The 20,730-nt window shown below is 40.6% G+C and overlaps 1 protein-coding gene and 1 pseudogene across 8 annotated transcripts in view, besides 1 other annotated feature; both read right to left on the bottom strand.

The window, feature by feature from the left end:
* Positions 1 to 20,730, bottom strand: part of FAM149B1 (family with sequence similarity 149 member B1) — a 76,386-nt gene that overhangs the window by 24,857 nt on the left and 30,799 nt on the right. For 4 of the 8 annotated variants that reach the window (XM_047425144.1, XM_017016167.2, XM_011539740.3 and 1 more), the window contains exons 6-8: positions 10,862 to 11,029; positions 9,210 to 9,397; positions 3,070 to 3,133 (exon numbers count right to left, since the gene is read on the bottom strand). In XM_047425144.1, the coding sequence (XP_047281100.1) occupies positions 3,070 to 3,133; positions 9,210 to 9,397; positions 10,862 to 11,029 (420 nt within the window). The remainder of the gene's footprint in view (positions 1 to 3,069; positions 3,134 to 9,209; positions 9,398 to 10,861; positions 11,030 to 20,730) is intronic. The other 4 variants (NM_173348.2, XM_005269744.3, XM_047425143.1 and 1 more) reach the window with 1 other exon arrangement.
* Positions 12,904 to 13,439: an enhancer, noted in NCBI's record as "NANOG hESC enhancer chr10:74965967-74966502 (GRCh37/hg19 assembly coordinates)". NCBI's record gives its function as "activates a minimal SCP1, AML or CMV promoter by ChIP-STARR-seq in primed H9 embryonic stem cells {active_cell/tissue: H9 hESC(primed)}" and the evidence as "EXISTENCE:reporter gene assay evidence [ECO:0000049][PMID:30033119]".
* Positions 18,223 to 19,293, bottom strand: EIF4A2P2 (eukaryotic translation initiation factor 4A2 pseudogene 2; annotated as a pseudogene).

The raw sequence follows: 20,730 nt of genomic DNA, 5'->3' as shown, positions 1-20,730 counted from the left end.
GAATGATCTTGGCACCCTTGAAAACTAATTGGCCACATATGTGTGGGTGTATTTCTGAACTTTTGATTCTATTCCATTGATCTATTTGTCTGTCCTTATGCCAGTTTCACACAACCAGTTTTGATTACTGCAGTTTTGTAGTAACTTTTTAAATCAGGAAGTGTGAATCCTCTAACTTTATTCTTTAGAAATATTGTTTTGACTATTCAAGGCCTCTCACATTTCCATGTGAACTTCAGGATCAGCTTGCCCATTTCTACAAAAAAAGGCAGCTGGAATTTTGATAGGGATTGTACTGAAACTGTAGATCTATTTGGGGAGTGTTAACATCTTAACAATATTAAGCCTTCAACTCCGTAAACATGGGATGTCTTTCCATTTCATTAGGTCTCCTCTAATTTCTTTCTATAATATTACATAGTTTTCAGTGTGGAAGTCTTGTACTTCCTTGGTTACATTTATTTATTTTATTCTTCTTGATACTATTGTAAATGAATTCATTTCTTAATTTCCTTTTTGACTATTCATTGATACAGGTTGGAAGAATTTTGAGAAGCATGATAAAAAATGCATAAATTGCCCTGAACAGACTGAGAGCAGAAATCTAGACCTGGAACATGTTATTGGCCACTGGAGGGAGACACTTGTTATTTAGTGGCAAAAAGCTTAGTGAAATGGTCTCCTGTAGTCTCGTAGAAAGCACAACTTGTAAGTGATGACCCAATCCATGTGTTGAAAGTGAGGCCTAAGTTTTTTCTTGCTGCTTATAATAAAATGTAAGATGAGAGAGATAAATTGAGGGGAAAACTGTTCAACAAAAAGTAACCAGGACTTGATGATTTTGAAAATTCTCGGTCTCTCTAGAGGATGAAAGATGCTAACATTGGACAGAGTGATCTAGAGAAAAAAAGGTGTGAGTAGACAACCTTTTACTAATATCTCAGAAAGATCAAAAGATTAGAGTATTCACTCACACAAAGGGTTCTCTCAAGAGATTAAGGGTTTATCTCAAAGATCCTCTTAACCAAACCACAGAGTCTTTATGAAACTTAAGGGCTTTGTCTCTCAGCCAGCCATTCAAGCAGGACCCTAAGATAGAGAAGAAATTATCTGAAAAGATACAGATATGGCTTTTGTCTAATTTGGTAAACCCCACTGATACCATGAAGAGCCAAAAAGTTTTTAAGAAAATTATTTCAACAGAAAAACTGCCAATTTGGACTAAAGGGACAGAGTCACTACAAAATGGAAGAAGGTTGTCAGACCCCCAAAGTTCTACTGGCAAGAAGCAGCCTGATAGAACTACTTAGCTACAAACACATGCTACCTTTCATGAAAAAATGAAAGATGATTCAGAGGGTGAAACCAGGCACCCAGAGAATGGAGCAAAGAACTGCAGAGGATTAGTCCCAGGTCTCGAAACTTAGTCATGGAACTCCCAATATTTACCCAGCTGGATTTCAGAATTGCTATGAACCCTTTTTTTAACCTTCCATTCCCCACTCCTTTTAACTGTGCTATCTATAACTATTATCCTTTGCCTGTCCCACTCTTGTATGTTGGGTGTGTTGGGGTCAGACAACTTGTCTCTTTAGTTTCACAGATCTACAGATGGAGAGAAATTGTGTATAGAACCTGTACTGAATAGATTACATCTAGGAACATCATCCACACCAGGACCTGATTTAGATGATAAGATTCTGGACCTTTGAGCTGATGCTACAATGGGATGGGACTCTTGAAAACCACGTGAGTGAGGTGAATGTATTTTGCATGTGGGAGAACATGAATCATTGGGGCATGTAGTAGACAGACTCTAAGGTGGCCCATGCATGATTCCTACCTCTTGGTGTTCATGCCTATGTGTAATTCCCCCACTCTGAGTGTGGGCAAGACTTGTGACTTGCTTCAGACCAATAGATAATGGTAAAGGTAATGGGATGTCATTCCCATGATCACGTTATATTATATAGGCTTTTGTCTTGTTAGTCCACTAGCTCTCAGTCTTTCTTACTGGCTTTGAAGAATAAAGCTGACATAAATACTACAGCTATAAGGAACTGTATTCTTCTAAGAATACACAAAAGTGTAAATGGCTTCTTCTCTAGTTGAGTCTCCACATGAGAGCCCAGCCCTGGCCAACACCTTAAACGCAGCCAGGTGAAACCCTAAACAGAGAACTAGCTAAGCTGTTCCTGGACTTCAGACTCACAAATATGTGAGGTATGTTGTTTGAAGCCACTGTTTGTGACAGTTTGTTAAGCAGCACAGAAAACCTACATAAACAATTCTTAAGAAGTGAAATGTGTATCTAACTATAAGCCAGCCATTCTACTATGAAGAATTTACCCAACAGAAAAAAATATGTATGCCTCCAATTTCTTGTACAATAGTGCTCATAACACCTTTACATGTAATGGCTCAAAGCTGAAAAGAATCAAACTGGCCATCAACAGATAAACAAATTGTGATGCAATGGAATACTACTCAGCAATAAAAAGGAATAAATTATTGATACACATAATGACAGCGATGAATCTCAAAATCATTATCCTGAGTGAAAGAAGCCAGACAAAGAGTGCATACGATTCCACTCACATGAAACTCTACAAAATGCAAACTAATCTACAGTGGCAGAAAGCAGATCACTCTTTTTGTGATAATCACTTTGGAGATGCAGAGATAGGCAAGGGCAGGAGGCAGGGATTATGAAAGGCATAAACTTTTGGGGGTGATGGTTATGTTCACTATATTGATTGTGGTGATGGTTTCATGGGTGTATACATATGTCAGAACTTATAACACACTTTAAATATGTAGTTTGAGGGGCTCTACCCTCCCTGGTGGCAGGCCCAAGTGCATTTTCAGAATTTAATACTGGGGTGCACCCTGTCCTTGGGCCAAGTTTGAGTTGATGTTGCTGCAGCTGCCACCTGGTAGAGGAGGGACAGGGAAGCCAAGCTCTTCTATGCATACCTAGGACAATACCTAATTCCCTGGTATAGGCTGCTGTGAGACCAAGACTTGAATGGACTGTACTCCTCACATCTTCTTGCTCATACTGCTCACCTAAGAGAGGTCCCATCCTCTGTGGTCACAAGGTCATAGCTGGCACCATTTTGATAGTTTAATGCTGCAATTTCATTAAACCACAAAGACAAAAGACAGAGAAAAAGAAACATAATTTATAAAACAACTCAAAAACAATCATCAATATGACAGAAACAAAGTCTCACATATCAATGTTAACCTGAATGTAAATGCATTAAATGGTCCACTTAAAAGACACAGATTAGCAGCATGGATTGAAAAAAAATAATCCAACTATATGCTGCCTACAAGAAACTCATCTTACCCATAAAGACACAAAAACTAAAGTAAACAAGTGGAAAAAAATATTCCACAGAAATGGAAATCAACAGTGAGCAGGAGTAGCTACACTTATAGCAGATGAAACAGACTTTAAATCAAAAACATAAAAATAAGACCAAGAAGGTCATTATATAATGACAAAGGGATCAATTCAACAAGATGTAACAATCCTAAATATATATGTACCCAACATCAGAGCACCTCAATTCACAAAACAAATATTATTAGACCTAAAGAAAGAGCAGACAACAATACAATAATAGTGGGGATTTTAACACCCCATTCACAGCACTAGACAGAGCAAAGAGACAGAAAACAAAGAAATATTGGACATACATTGGACTTTAGACCAAAATGGACTTAACATTTACAGAACGGTCTACTCAAAAACTACAGAATATACATTCTTTCATCAGCACATGGAAAATTCTCCAAGACAGACCAAATATTAGGCCATAAAACAAATCTTAACAAATGTTTTAAAAGTGAAATCATATCAAGTATCTTCTCAGACCACAGTGGAATAAAGTCGGAAATCAACACCACAAAGAACTCTGGAAACCATACAAATATGTGGAAATTAAACAGCATGCTCCTGAACAATCACTGGGTCAATGAAAAAATTGACAGAAATTTAAAAACTGAAACAAATGAAAATAAAAATACAATCTATTAAAACCTGTAGGATACAGCAAAAGCAGTATTAAGAGGAAAGTTATAGCAATAAATGCTTATATCAAAAAAGTAGAAAGATGGCTGGGCATGGTGTCTCACACCTGTAATCCTGGCACTTTGGCAGGCCAAGGCAGGAGAATCGCTTGAGGCCAGGAGTTTGAGACCAGTCTGGGCAACATAGCAAAACCCAATCTCTAAAAAAAAATTTTTTTAATTAAAAAAAAGTAAAAAGATCACAACTACCTAACATTACACCTCAAGGAACTAAAAAAACAAAGCCGAGCATGGTAGCTCATGCCTGTCATCTCAGTACTTTGGGAGGGAGGCCAAGGTGGGCAGATCACTTGAGGTGAGGAGTTCAAGACCAGCCTCGCCAACATGACAAAACCCTATCTCTACTAAAAATACAAAAATACGCTGGTTATGGTGGTGTGCACCCATAATCCCAGCTACTTGGGAGGCTGAGGCAGGAGAATGGCTTGAACCTGGGAGGCAGAGGCGCAGAGGCTGCAGTGAGCCGAGATCATGCCACTGCACTCCAGCCTGGGTGACAGAGTGAGACTCTGTTCCAAAAAAACCAAAAACTGAAAAACAAACAACAACAACAACAAAAACCAGATAGATTCACAGCCAACAACAACAAAAGCCTAAAAATCAGATGGATTAAAACAAACAAACAAACAGATGGATTCACAGTCAAATTATACCAAATATACAAATAATTAATACCAATCCTCCTGAAACTACTCCAAAAAAATTAAAAAGGAGGGAATTCTCCTTAACTTATTCTATGAGGCCAGTATAACTCTGATACCAAAATCAGACAAGGACACAATGAAAAAAGAAAAGCCCAATATCCCTGATGAACATATGGACAAGAACCCTCAACAAAATACTAGCAAACTGAATCCAACAGCACATCAAAAAGATAATACAACATGATCAAGTGGGATTTATCCCAGAGTTGAAAGGATGATTCAACATATGCAAATCAATAAATGTGATACATCATATAAACAGAATTAAGGACAAAAAACAAATGATCATCTCAATAGATGCACAAAAGGCACTGGATAAAATTCAACATTACTTCATGATAAAGGTCCTCAACACACTAGGCATAGAAGAAACATACCTCAACATAATAAAGGCCATAAACAACAAACCCATAGCTAGCATTATACTTAACAGAGAAAAACTGAAAGCATTCCCTAAAGCTAGAACAAGACAAGGATGCCCACTTTCACCACTCTTATTCAACAAGTCCTTGTCACAGCAATCAGGCAAAAGAAAATAACAAAAGGCATCCAAATTGGAAAAGAGGAAGGCAAATTGCCCTGTTTGCTGATGGTATGATCTTATATCTGGAAAACCTGAAAGATTCTACCAAAAAACTTAGATTCGATAAATAAATTTAGTAGTTTCAGGATACAAAATTAAGATCCAAAAATCAGTAGGGTTTCAATACCCCATTAATGATCTAGCCAAGGACCAAATCAAGAAGGCAACTCAATTTACAATAGCTATAAGAAAGTAAACTATCCAGGATTATATTTAAGCATGGAGGTGAAAGATCTCTATAAGGAGAACTACAAAACACTGACTAAAGAATTCATAGATGATACAAACACATGGAAAAACATCCCATGCTCATGGATTGAAAGAATCCATATTGTTAAAATGACCATACAGATCAATCAGTCTACAGATTCCACACAATCCCTATCAAATTACCAATGCCATTTTTCACAGAATTAGAAAAAAAATCCTAAAATTCATATGGAACCAAAAAAGAGCTCAAATAGCTAAAATAATCCTAAGTAAAAAGGACAAAGCTGGAGGACTCACATTACCTGACTTCAAATTATACAAGGGTATAGTAATCCAAACAGCATGGTACTGGTATAAAAATAGACACACAGACCAACGGAATGGAATAGAAAACCAAGAAATAAAGCCAATCAACTGATCTTTGACAAAGTCAACAAAAATATACACTGGGGAAAGGACTCTATTAAATAAGTGGTGCTGGGAAAACTGGCTAGCCATATGCAGAAAAATACCTCTCACCATATACAAAAATTAAGAGAACCCATACCTCTCACCGTATACAAAAATGGATTAAAGACTTAAACCCAAGACCTGAAACTGTAACAATCCTAGAAGAAAACCTAGGAAAAAGTCTTCTGGACATTGTCCAGGCAAAGAATTTAAGACCAAGTCTTCAAAAGCAAAAGCAACAAAAACAAAAATAGACAAATGGGATTCAATTAAACTAAAAAGCTTCTGCATAGCAAAAGAAATAACAGAATAAGCAGACTACTTACAGAATGGCAAAAAATATTTGCAAACTATGCATCTGACAAAGGACTAATATCCAGAATCTACAAGGATTTCAACCCAATAAGAAAACAATAAATAACCCTATTTAAAAGGGGAAAAAGAATATGAACAGGCTGGGCATGGTGGCTCATGCCTGTAATCCCAGCACTTTGGGAGGCCAAGACGGGCAGATCGCTTGAGCCCAGGAGTTTGAGACCAGCCCAGGCAACATGGTTAAACCCTGCCTCTACAAAAAAAATACCAAAAGATTAGCCAGTCGTGGTGGTGCATGCCTGTGGTCCCAGCTACTCAGGAGGCTGAGGTAGCAGGATCACTTGAGCCCAGAAGGTCAAGGCCGCAGTGAGCTGTGATTGTGCCACTGCACTCCAGCCTGGGTGACAGAGAGAGAGAGAAACACAGAGAGAGAGAGAGAGTGAGAGAGAGAAACAGGACATGAACAGACATTTTTCAAAAGAAGACATACAAGCATCCAACAAACATGAAAAACGACTGATGTTGGCAAGGATGTGAAGAAAAGGGAACACTGTATAAACTGTTTGTGGGAAAGTAAATTAGTACAGCCTTTATGGAAAAAAGCATGGAGATTTCTCAAAGAACTAAAAATAGAACTGCCATTTGATCCAGCAGTCCCACTCTTGAGTATATACACAAAAAGAAATCATTATATCAAAAAAATATTTACAGCCAGGCGCAGTGGCTCATGCCTATAATCCCAGCACTTTGGGAGGCTGAGGCAGGCGGATCACCTGAGGTGAGGAGTTCAAGACCAACAACATGGCAAAACCCCATCTCTACTAAAAATACAAAAAATTAGCTGGGCGTGATGGTGCACACCTGTAATCCCAGCTACTCGGGAGGCTGAAGCAGGAGAATCGCTTGAACCTAGGCGGCAGAGGTTGCAGTGGGCCAAGATCACACCACTGCACTCCAGCCTGGGTGACAAGAGTGAAACTCTGTCTCAAAAAATATATATTTATTCACACTCATATGTTTATCGCTCCATTATTCACGGTAGCAAAGATATGGAATCAGCCTAAGTGTCCATCAACAGAGGACTGGATAAATAAAATGGACTACTACTTGGCCATACAAAATAATGAAATCTGAGAAATATCCATGCTTTTTTCCATAAAGGCTGTCTTTTGCAGCAACATAGATGGAACTGGAGGCCATTATCCTAGCGAAATAACTCAGAAACAGAAAGTCAAATACCACATGTTCTCACTTATAAGTGAAAGCTAAACAATGGGTTCACATGGACATACAGAGTGTAATAAGAAACACTGGAGACTCCGAAAGGTGGGAAGGTGGGAGGGAGGCAAGGTTTGAAAAATTACCTATTGAGCACAATATTCACTATTTGAGTGAATATTTTAGTGTACCACCTGAGGTCACTAAAAACCCAGATTTCACCACTAAGAAATACATGCACATAAGAAACCCGCACTTGGACCCTTCAAATACATAAAAATAAAAAATAAAATGAAAAGAAAAAATAGTGCAGTTTATTATATATCTATTATGCTTTAATAAAGCAGTTTAAAAAAGTGCTACTTGCACATGATTTTTCTTCATAAATCATTATATTCAAAGAGAAAGTACAAGCTCTGTCTAATCATCACAGACTAGGCCTTTTTATCGATCTACTCATTCTCAAATATTTACTAAATACCTGTTAGTTTTTGTGGGAAATACAAACATAAGTCAGACCCACTATGATCTGAAATCAGGGGCAGAGACTAAATATATGGGTCATTCCATATCATATCATGAGATGATAATAAACAGATATTTGGTCTCTGCCCCTGGTTGAGGCACATAGCTCCTAAAACTCTTATAATACCCAAAGTGGTGTTTTTTTTTGTATGCTAATGATATGACCGGTGGTTAGGGGCTCTTGGATAGTCTGAGGATTGGGTAGGGAGATAGTGGTTGGCAGGGGAACCAACCATGTAATTAGAAGGTTGGAACTTTTTCACTTTTTCAGCCCCACCCCTTAACCTCTAGGGAGAAGACAGGGGCTGAAGGTCGAGTTAATCAGCGATGGCCAACAATTGAATCATGCCTACAAAATGAAACCTCCATAAAAATCCTAAAGGACTAGGTTCAGAGAGACCTAGTCTCTCTGGTAGACTTCTGGTAGGTCAGAAGTACAGGTCACAACTTGGAGCTTGCAACTAGCATCTGAAGTTGGGGGTAGTCTTGTGGGACTGGGCCCTTAATTTGTGGGATCTGACAATATCTCCTGGTAGACTGTGTCAGAACTGAACTGAATTATAGGATGTGGTGTCAGAATTGCTTGGGTTGTGGGGGAAAAAACCCTACCTACTGGTGTCAGACATGTTGTGGTATGTGAGAGTAGGAAAAAACATTTAGGGAAAAACATTTGGGTTTTTCCTCTCTCTCATACCCACTTTTTTTTTTCTTCTTTTTTGAGACAGAGTCTCTCATCTTATGCCCAGGCTAGAGTGCAGTGGTGCAGTCATAGCTCACTGCAGACTTGACCTCCTGGGCTCAAGTGATGCTCCCACCTCAGTCTCTTGCGTAGCTGGAACTATAGGTGAATGCCACCATGCCTGGCTAATTTTTAATTTTTTTAGAGAGATGGGATCTCACTACATTGCCCAGGCTGGTCTCAAACTCCTGGGCTCAAGAGATCCTTCCCCTTGGCCTCCCAAAGTGTTTGGATTATAGGCATAAGCCACTGTGCCTGGCCCATACGCACCTTTTGCACTAAGAAGCATATCATCTAATAGACTGGTTAGGGTTTAGAAATCATAAACAATTGATTTTTACATTATTTTCACAAAGATCCTTACCAGAGGCAAATCCTTCCCAGTGACTACGTGTCAACTGCTCCATACAGCTCACAACCTTGCACCATACACTGTCAAACACATAAGCAAGGACATCTTCTTTCATGCAGTAAAATGGAGCAATGGGAGGATACCCTAATTTCTGTTTCTCTGTAGCTGCTTCTGATTTCTTCCCATGAAATCCCTCTTCTCTGTAACAGAAGCAAGAAGGAAAGACTTCATGATGCTGAAGGGAAGGCTGCCTTTCTAAAATTGTCTGTGTATTACCTGAAAATTCACTTTGATTTGAGGAAAAATGGAAAATAGAATTAATTTGACAAAGGCCAAATAGAAGTAATAAATAGAAAATAGAAGTAATTTGACACAGGAGAAGTGAAAGGGAAGGAGGCAATCTTTGGAAAACCAAAAGAATCTGCTTCCAGTTCTAGCTCAGTGGTATTATGTATAGAAGCCTGGCTTATATTTAGCTGGCCCTAGGGCTGTGTGCACATGAGTGATACGTGAGTGAACATGGCTCAGCAGGAAATACAATGGGAAAAAAATGCAATGGGAAAAAAAAAATGCATCCAGAATCATGTGACACAATACTAACTACTAGACCTAACCACAGCTGCACAGCCTAAAAAGAAATTCTCACTTATTTTCAAATATGCTGCTGTGACTATCAAATCTGGAACTTTTAAAGGCTTAGAGGAATAGTTTAACAGGTTAATGTCACAGAAAGGTAGCAAGGAATAGTGAAGAGAAGACTGGATTGAGAATCAGATGAATAAGGTTTTGGTTTTAGCTTTACTTGAGACAAATCATTAACTACTCTGATTCTCACCTATCCAGTAAAGAAGATAAATCATATCTATGTGATAGGTCTACTGTTAGAATATAGTTAGAATAGATATAAATAGACATTATTAATTATAAAATCTGTGCCAACCATAAGGTTTTAAACAAACTGTTTATACCTTTTTCTTTTCTTTTTTGTTTTGTTTTGTTTTTGGAGATGGAGTCTTGCTCTGTTGCCCAGGCTGGTATGCAGTGGCGTGATCTCGGCTCACTGCAACCTCCGCCTCCCGGGTTCAAGCGATTCTCTGGCCTCAGCCTCCCAAGTAGCTGACATTAGAGGCACGCATCACCATGCCCAGCTAATTTTGTATTTTTAGTAGAGATGGGGTTTCACCATGTTGGCCAGGCTAGTCTCAAACTCCTGACCCAAAGTGATCTGCCTGCCTCGGCCTCCCAATGTGCTGGGATTACAAGTGTGAGCCACCGCGCCCAGCCTGTATATACATTTTTCAAACAGAATTTATGTAAACAAAGTCCATATCTCTTCAACTGCTCTTTTAAAAGGTTTCAAAGTTCCCACTGGTGGTAATTTGCAAAAGGGTAAAATCAAACTATGTGGGGAAAAAATAAACTTATTTTAAAATCTCTAATCTCAGGAACAGGCAAATGATGTGTGAAGTTATAAAATACACAAGGAAGTCTAGTACATGGAGGCAATAAGAACATAAATTCTGGATACCTGAGAAATAACATAAAATAAATAACAGAAACTGGCATATATTTAATAATATACATTGGTAGCATCATTTAGAAAAAATAGGTATTAATACACAAAATAAGAGGGGAGTAAAAAGCTTAAAAGGCATAATACTCACATATCTATGTGATCGAATGCTAGGTATTCCTCAATTATTCCTTCTGAGACGATTATAGAGTCTTCCTCATCTCTTTCCATAGAACAAAAGCTGGAGGATTTGGCAATGGAAGATGCTTTATGAGCATAAGAAGATGAAAAATGTAACTTCTTTCCCCTTATACCAAATCTTGGAGTGGAAAAAAGAAGTAAATATTAATTATGTAAACATAAACAGTTCTTATGGCAACACAGTTACATGAGTTTTGGCTCAAACTCCCCTTGCCCTGGCAATACCTTCGTGGACTATTCTAAGCCTCAATAACCTACCATTTCTCAGAACAGGAAGATTAAATTCTGGTCACAGAACTATTCTGCCTACATGTACTATGGACTATCTGGTACTGCTTGCTGTCTTTTCAGATGCAAACAGCTATAGCTATGTATTAGGTCATCCTTGCCTTGCTATAAAGAAATATCTGAGACCACGTAATTTATAAGAAAAGAGATTTAATAGGCTCACAGTTCTGGAGGCTGTAGAAGCATAGTGCTGGCATCTGCTTCTGCAGAGGACTTACAAAGCTTTTACTCATGGGGGAATGTTAAGTGGGAGCAGGAGCAAGAGAGGTGCCACACACTTTTAAATGACCAGATGTCATGGGAACTCACTATCGCAAAGACAGTACAAAGCCATAAGGGATCCTCCCCCATGACCCAAACACCTCCCACCAGGCCCCACCTCTAGCATTGGGGATTACAATTCAGCATGAGATTTGGGCATCCTGCCCTTGGCTCCTCCCAAATCTCATATCCTTCTCACATTGCAAAATACAATTATGGTTTCCAAAAAGTCTCAAAAGTCTTGACTCATTCCAGTGTTAATTCAAAAGTCCAAAGTCCCACGTCTCCTCTGAGACAAGGCACATCCCTTCCAGCTATGAGCCTGTAAATCAAAAACAAGTTATTTACTTCCAAGATACAATGGGAGTATAGGCGTTAGATAAACATTTCTGTTCCAAAAGAGAGGGGCTACAGATCCCATGCAAGTTCAAAACCCAGTAGGGGAGTCATTAACTCTTAGAACCCCTTGATGTCCCATGACAAGGTGCAAGCGGTAGGCTTCCAAGACCCTGGGCAGCTCTACCCCTGTGGCTTTGCAGGGTTCAGCTCCCAAGGTTGCTCTCATGGGTGGAGTTGAATGCCTGCAGCTTTCTTTTTTCTTTTTTTCTTTTTTTTCTTTTTTGAGAGACAGAGTCTCGTTCTGTCGCCCAGGCTGGAGTGTAGTGGTGGGGTCTCGGCCCACTGCAACCTCTGCCTCCCGGGTTCAAGCAGTTCTCCTGCCTCAGCCTCCTGAATAGCTGGGATTACAGGCGAGCACCACTACACTCAGCTAATTTTTGTATTTTTAGTAGAGATGGGGTTTCACCATGTTGGCCAGGCTGGTCTCGAACTCCTGGTCTCTAGTGATCTGCCCATCTTGGCCTCCCAAAGTGCTGGGATTACAGGCATGAGCCACTGCACCTGGCCTGAATGCCTGCAGCTTTCTAGGTACAGGGTGCAAGGTGAATCTATCATTCTGGGGTCTGGAAGATGGTGACCCCCTTCCCACAGCTCCACTAGGCAGTGCCCCAGTGGGAATTGTGTGTGGGGCCTCCAACCCCCTATTTCTTCTCTGCACTGCCCAATAGAGATTCTCTGTGAGGACTCCACCCCTGCATCAGGCTTCTGCCTGGGCACCCAGGCTTTCTCTTACATCCTCTGAAATCTACACAGATAGTGCCAAGCCTTCACTCTTTGCCCTCTGTGTGCCCACAAGCTTAACACCACATGGAAGCTGCCAAGGCTTACAGCTTGCTTGCAACATTTGTTTGTTTGTTTGTTTGTTTGTTTTTTTGAGACAGAGTCTTGCTGTATCACCCAAGCTGGACTGCAGTGGCGTGATCTCAGCTCACCGCAACCTCCACCTCCCAAGCTCAAGGGATTCTCATGCCTCAGCCTCCCAAGTAGCTGGGATTATAGGCGTCCGCCACCACACCTGGCTAATTTTCGTATTTTTAGTAGAGACAAGGTTTCACCATGGATCACTTGAGATCAGGACATCTTAGATTCTCTAAAGCGGCAAGTCAAGCTGTAACTGGGCCCCGCTGAGCCCCAGCAAAAAGCAGTGTCCCAAGGCTGCTCAAGGCAACAAGGTCCTGGGTCTGCCCCACAGAACCATTCTTCCCTCCTAGGCCTCTGGGCCTGTGATGGGAGGGGCTGCTGTGAAGGTCTCCGAAATGCCTTTTTCCCATTGTCTTGGCTATTAGCACTTGGCTGCTTTTTAGTTATGCAAATATCTCTATCAAGTGGTTGCTCCACAGCCTGCTTGAGTTCCTCTTCCCAAAAAGCTTTTTCTTTCTTTGTCATGTGGCTAGGCTGCAAATTTTCCAAGCTTTTATGCTCTGCTCCCCTTTTAAATATAAATTCCAACTTTAAGTCATTTCTTTGCTCCCACATCTGAGCATAGGTGTTAGAAGCAGGCATGTTACTTCTTGAACACTCTGCTACTTAGAAATTTCTGCTACCCAATACCCTACGTCATGACTCTCAAGATCAAAATTCCATAGATCTCTAGGGCATGGACATAATACAGCCAAGTTCCTTGCTAAGGCATAACACACATGCCCTTTCTTCCAGTTCCCAGTAAGTTCCTCATTTCCTTCTGAGACCTTGTCAGCCTGGACTTTATTGTCCATTTCACTATTAGCATTTTGGTCACAACCATTTAACTGGTCTCTAAGAAATTCTAAACTTTCCCTCTTCCTGTTGTCTTCTGAGCCCTCCAGTCTTTCAACATCTGCCCATTACCCAGTTTCAAAGTCACTTCCACATTGTCAGGTATCCTTATAGCAATACCCCATTCCTTGGTACCAGTGTTCTGTATGAAGTCATTCTTGCATTGCTATAAAGAAATACCTAGCCAGGTGCGGTGGCTCACACCTATAATCCCAGCACTTTGGGAGGCTGAGGCAGGCGGATCACGAGGTCAGGAGTTCAAGACCAGCCTGGCCAACACAGTGAACCCTCATCTCTACTAAAAATACAAAAATTAGCCAGGCACAGTGGTGCACACCTGTAGTCCCAGCTACTCAGGAGGCTAAGGCAGGAGAATTGCTTGAATCCGGGAGGCGGAGGTTGTGGTGAGTCTAGATCACACCACTGCACTCCAGCCTGGGCAACAGAGTGAGACTCTGTCTCAAAAAAACCCAAAAAAACAAAAACAAAAAACAAAAATACCTGAGACTGGGTAATTTATAGGAAAAGAGGTTTAATTGGCTTATGGCTCTGCAGGTTGTACAGGAAGCATAGTGCTAATAGTGCTAACATCTGCTTTGAGGGAGGCTGCAGGAAGCTTTAACTTATGGTAAAAAGTGAAGGAGGAGTAGGCATATCACACGACCAGAGCAGAAGAAAGACAGAGTGTGTGTGTGTGTGGAGAGGTGCCGCACACTTCTAAATGACTAGATCTCATGAGAACTCATTCACTATTGCAAAGATCATACCAAGTCATGAGGGATTTGTCCCCATGACTCAGACACCTCCCACCAGGCCCCACCTCCAGCACTAGGGATTATAATTCTACATGAGATTTAGGCAAGGACAAATATCTAAACTATAACAAGCTATACAACAAGTTTTTTAAAAACTAAGAATAATTGGCCAGGCGGGTGGCTCACACCTGTAATCCCAGCACTTTGAGAGGCTGAGGCAGGCGGATCACAAGGTCAGGAGATTGAGACCATCCTGGCTAACAGGGTGAAACTGTCTCTACTAAAAAAAAAAAAAAAAAAAAAAAAAAAAAAAAAAAAAAAAAAAAAAAAAAAATTAGCCAGGCATGGTGGCGGGTGCCTGTAGTCCCAGCACTTTGGGAGGCTGAGGCAGGAAAATGGCGTGAACCCAGGAGGCACAGCTTGCAGTGAGCTGAGATTGCACCACTGCACTCCAGCCTGGGCGTCAGAGCGAGACTCCGTCTCAAAAAAAAAAAAAAAAAAAAAAAAGAATAATCACATTTATAATTACATCTTAAGATATCTCACGAGGTTATATCCTTATTTCAGTAACTCCATCATTGCCCAAAATATATGCTCCTTATGGGCAGGGATCTTATCTTATTAATATTCAAATTTCTCTTCCTTCCTAGGCATTCAGTAAATATGTGATGACTCATTTGTTTCAGTGGGTTTACTCTGGAGAAAGTCAATCCAATCTGAGAAATAAAATTTTAAAAAATGGAACTCAGTTTAACCAAATGTTAAATATAACCAATTTACACTTTGTATTGCTCTTTACATTTTTTTGTGCCTTAAGTATTTTTTTTTATTAGGAAAATAGAATAAACCCATGGCAGCTGGGCCCATGGCTCATGCCTGTAATCCCAGCACTTTGGGAGGCTGAGGCAGGCAGATCACTTGAGGTCAGGAGTTTGAGACCAGCCTGGCCAACATGGTAAAACCCCGTCTCTACTAAAAATACAAAAATTAGCCAGGCGTGATGGCATGTGCCTGTAATCCCAGCTACCTGGGAGGCTGAGACAGGAGAATTGCTTGAACCTGTGGGGTGGAGGTTGCAGTGAGCTGAGATTACACCACTGCACTCCAGCCTGGGCAACAGAGCAAGACTCTGTCACACACACAAAAAAATAATAATAGTTAAAAAAACAAACCCATGGCACTTTTAAACAAGGCTGGTGGGAAAATCTTACTGGAAGACATTTTGGGAATATGTATTAGGAGCTTTAAAATAAACATTTTCTTTGATTCAGTGGTTTCATTTGTAGGGATTTCCTTTAAGGATATGACCTGTAAGATTTAGCTATAAGAATTATGATTGGTGGGGCACGGTGGTTCATTCCTGTAATCTCTGCACTTTGGGAGGCTGAGGCAAGTGGATTGCTTGAGCCCAGGAGTTTAACACCAGCCTGTGCAACATGGTGAAACTTGGTTTCTGCAAAAAAGTACAAAAATTAGCCAGGTATGGTGGCATGCACCTATAGTCCCAGCTACTCAGGAGGCTGAAGTGGAAGAATCACTTGAGCCCTGGAGGCAGAAGTTGCAGTGAGCCATGACTGTGCCACTGCACTTCAGCCTGGGCAACAGAGTGAGACCCTATCTCAAAAAAAAAAAAAATTATGATCACAGAATTGTTTATAATTGCCAAAAATAGAAACTAGCCCAACTGTTTCAAAATAGAGGATTTGGGGATGAGTTCCTTAAATAGTGATATATTCATGCAATGGAATAAAGTCCTTAAGTTAATATTGGGAAAAATAGAAGATGTCCACAATAAAAGATTAAGTATAAAGAGATTACAAAATGTATAATTTCATAAAAACCATATACATACATGGTAGAGAATGCTAGATGCCCCTCAATATCCATTCTCTCCTTCTTTTCTAGTAAAATCATCCCAATTTTATTCATGAAAACAACATATCCACCTCAAAGACTGCATCTCCCAGTTACCTTGCAGCCAAAGATAGTCAATGCAATATGAGCAGAATTATTCTGTGGGACTCTGGGAAGGCTGTTTAAAGGGAACTGGTGTGACTGCAAGGGATACCATTTAGCCCTTCTGTCTTTCCTCCTTTCTGCTACGTGGAAAGCGAATATCATGTTTGGAGCTCTATCAGCTATCTTGAACCATGAAGAAAACTTCAGAAAAAACACCGTGGGCTAACATGATATGGCAGAAGGATGAAGTGTCTCAGTCCCTGAAAACACCATGCCGCCACTCTACATTGCCTTCCTCCAGACTTCTTTTACATAAAAAGAAGTAAACTTCTCTTATGCAAGAGTTGGTAAACAGATAAGATCCTTAACCATGGCAGGTGGCACTGGGATGGAGATGGTAAGAGATGAGAGAAGCTCAGCCTGGGCAAAAGGCGAAATCCTGTCTCTACAAAAAATACAAAATTAGCCAGATGAGGTGGTGCACACCAGTAGTCCCAGCTACTCGGGAGGCTGAGGTGGGAGGATCACCTGAGCCCAGGAGATCAAGGCTGTAATGAGCTGAGATTGCACCACTGTACTCCAGTCTGGGTGACAAAGCGAGGCCCTGTCTCAAACAAACAAACAAACAAAACAAAAAAAGGAAGAGGGAAGGGATGAAGGGCGGTTGGGAGGGAGGGAGGGAGGGAGGGAATCGGTTTGGAGATCCAATATGTCTAAAAATTAGCCAGGCGTGGTGGCTCACACCTGTAATCCCAGCTACTTGGGAGGCTGAGGAAGGAGAATCCCTTGAACCTGGGAGGCAGAGGTTGCAGTGAGCAGAGATCACGCCATTGCACTGCAGCCTGGGTAACAAAAAAAAAAAAGCTATCAAACATATGGAATGTATACCCAACATTCCATTACGTTATTCTGCTATCGTATTATTCCACTTATAACCAATTATATTTTTAGTCAGTGGTAACTAATGGAATTCTTTGTGTTGAAAAATAAATAGGAATTTCTAACAACTATAGGCCTTTATAACTATTAAAAGAAATTTTAGCTAGATAAGAAGAAAAAATATTCCCATTTCCCCTAAAGCTGCAGCAAAAAATAAGATAGTATTCTACACCATAAAGTTGTCTTTGTAAATGTTATTTCTTTCTTTTTGTTTTTGAGACAGAGTCTCGCTCTGTCGCCCAGGCTGGAGTGCAGTAGCGTGATCTTGGCTCACTGCAATCTCTACCTCCAGGGTTCAAGTGACTCTCCTGTCTCAGCCTCCCCAGTAGCTGGGATTACAGGTGTGTGCCACCACGCCTGGCTAATTTTTGTATTTTTAGTAGAGACGGGGTTTCACCATGTTGGCCAGACTGGTCTAAAACTCCTGACCTCAGGTTATCTGCCCATCTCACCCTCCCAAAGTGCTGGGATTACAGGTGTGAGCCATCGCTCCTGGCTGCTATTTCCTTTTTTTTTTCTTAAGTGAATATACAGTTTATTTAACACTAAAACTTCATTAAGACATGTGCAATATGGCAATTTTACTGGGAATTTAACCCTATTTAGGATATGATTGCTTGCTGGGGCTTAGCCATAGGGTCCAGTTCACACTTAGCACTAATTAAATATTTGATTGCATAAATACAATACCAAATAAAATGCATTCGAATGCCTTCTAAAAAATCAATTTTAAAGGCCTTCCTACTCAGGCTAATGACAAACACAATAAGGGCAGGTATGCTACTTTAATGTAATTGGCTGATTTTATACAGCACTTATATCTTTTAGTCCCCAGATACATTATTAAATAATACAAAACATCTAATACTACCATTTCTACAGAACTAGGAAATAAATTTCTAAGAAAGAAAAATTTTAGAACTCATCTTTTATACCTATCCTAACAGTTTAACTCTAAAGAGGATAAAGCCAATGATTTTCCTCACAAGAGCTCACGACTAATGTTGCTTTGGTATCAAAATCTGTATTTCTGATCTGTTATGAGAATTGAGACAAGATTCAAATATTCCCAAAGAAAGAAGCACAATGCACATTGTAATTGTCTGTTCAACAACAGGGAGCACTGCATCCAAAACTCTGTCATCCCAGGAATTAAATACGGTCAGCTACATTTATGGGCATTTCCTTCACTGTAGTATTGCATACAAATCTCAGTGTCACGAAGAATCCTCTTGCCTTCCTCAGTAACAAAGTTTTTAGCCACACCTTTTCTACCAAATTGACCCCTCTGCCAATTCTGCGAATACAGTTTTCATGACTGCTAGGTAGATCATAGTTTATAACCGAAGACACTTGTTGGACATCAGTCCCACGTGCCAACAAGTAAATAGTGATCAGAACAGGGCTTGACCCTGATCAGAATTCCCTCATGATAGTATCTCTCTCCTTCTGGTCCATGTCGCCATGCAGAGCAAAAACTGTGACGTCCCTGGCATGTATTTTCTCAGTCAGCCAGTCCACCTTGCACCTTGTATTGAGAAAAATAACAGCCTGTTTAATGGTGCCTTGTACAAGTCACAAAGTATATCCAACTTCCATTCCTCCTGCTCAACACTGATATAAAACTGTTCGATTCCTTCAAGGTTCAAGTCTTCCTTTTTCACCAGAATTTGAATAGGATCTTTAGTGAATTTTTTGGTCACTTCCAACACATCAGTTGGCATCATGGCAGAAAGCAACACAACCTAAATACTTGTATTTAATTTTTGGAAAATCTCATAGATTTGATCCTTAAACCCTTGGCTGAACATTTCATCTGCTTCATCCAAAACAAACATTTTGATCCATTTTGGAAAAAAGGTATCTTCTGTTTAACATATCACACATTCTCCCTGGTGTACCAACAATATGTGGTACTTCAGCCTGCAGTTTTTGCATTCATTTTGAACATTTGTTCCACCAATGCAGGCATGACAGGTTGCTCCCATATAATCTCCAAGTGCCAGAATCACCTTTTGGGTATTTTTTGTTTTGTTTTGTTTTTGCGATGTAGTTTCGCTCTTGTCACCCAGGCTGGATGGAGTGCAATGGTGCAATCTCGGCTCACTGCAACCTCCGCCTCCCAGGTTCAAGCGATGATTCTCCTGCCTCAGCCTCCCGAGTAGCTGGGATTACAGGTATGCGCCAACATGCCCAGCTAATTTTTGTATTTTTAGTAGAGACAGGGTTTCACCATGTTGGCCAGGCTGGTCTCGAACTCCTGACCTCAGGTAATCTACCCGCCTCGGCCTCCCAAAGTGCTGGGATTACAGGCATGAGCCACTGCGCCTGGCCACCTTTTGGATCTTTAATACAGGGAATAATAGTTCTCTGCTGAATAGCGGAAGGCTTCTGAAATCATAAGCATAGATACCCCAAAGAAGAGACTTTTTAAAGTTTGTATCATCAAAGTTATCAACAACCTCCTTCCAGTTGCTCTCGATGACACCATCAGGGTCCATTCTCTCTGGGTCTCCATGTTCTCTGCTGTTATAATCCACGGAGCCACCAGACATGATGTGAAAAACGACTTAGCACCCGACTGAAAAGCTGCCTATGTTATTTTTAACAAAGGAATCTTTTAAATCATTGGACTTTGGATATTACTATATCTGGAAAATAACCTTTAATTTATATAATGTCTGTAATTCATTTATTTAACAAAGGAATAGGCTGGGTACAGTGGCATGTGCCTATAGTCCCAGCTATTTGGGAGGCTGAGGCAGGAGGATCTCTTGAGCTCAGGAGTTTGAGGACAGCCTGGGCAACATAGTGAGACCCTGTCTCCTAAAACAAACAACCAAATAAAAAGAATAACAGTTATTGGCCAGGCACAGTGGCTCACGCCTGTAATCTCAGCACTTTGGGAGGCTGAGGAGGGTGGACCATGAGGTCAGGAGATCGAGACCATCCTGGCAAACACAGTGAAACCCCGTCTCTACTAAAAATACAAAAAATTAGCCGGGCGTGGTGGTGGGCGCCTGTAGTCCCAGCTACTCGGGAGGCTGAGGCAGGAGAATGGCATGAACCTGGGGGGCGGAGCTTGCAGTGAGCGGAGATTGTGCCACTGCACTCCAGCCTGGGCGACAGAGCGAGACTCCATCTCAACAACAACAACAACAACAACAACAACAACAACAACAAAAAAGGATAACAGTTATCTTACCTAATACTGTGTTGCCCTGGTAGTTATAGTTATATTTAAATAGAGATGTGTTTTCTTGTGTGACAGAACTTTATTCTTCTCCCACATGCATGGAGGATAAAATGACTTTGCTAGGTTTCTTATTTATACAAAGAGTTTATATTTGGAACCAGTCCTTCCAGGTGTAGGCATTAGGAAGTAGAGTTCCGCATCTCTAATGAAAGTGATTACTGCAAGGCCCTCCAGGATGATTGGAAGGAACAAGTGGCCAAGAGCTAC

The sequence above is a fragment of the Homo sapiens genome, chromosome 10 (assembly GCF_000001405.40).
Source record: "Homo sapiens chromosome 10, GRCh38.p14 Primary Assembly".
NCBI lineage: Eukaryota > Metazoa > Chordata > Mammalia > Primates > Hominidae > Homo > Homo sapiens.
Note: the sequence above shows the minus strand (reverse complement) of the source record. Positions and strands in the feature narration are given on the sequence as shown.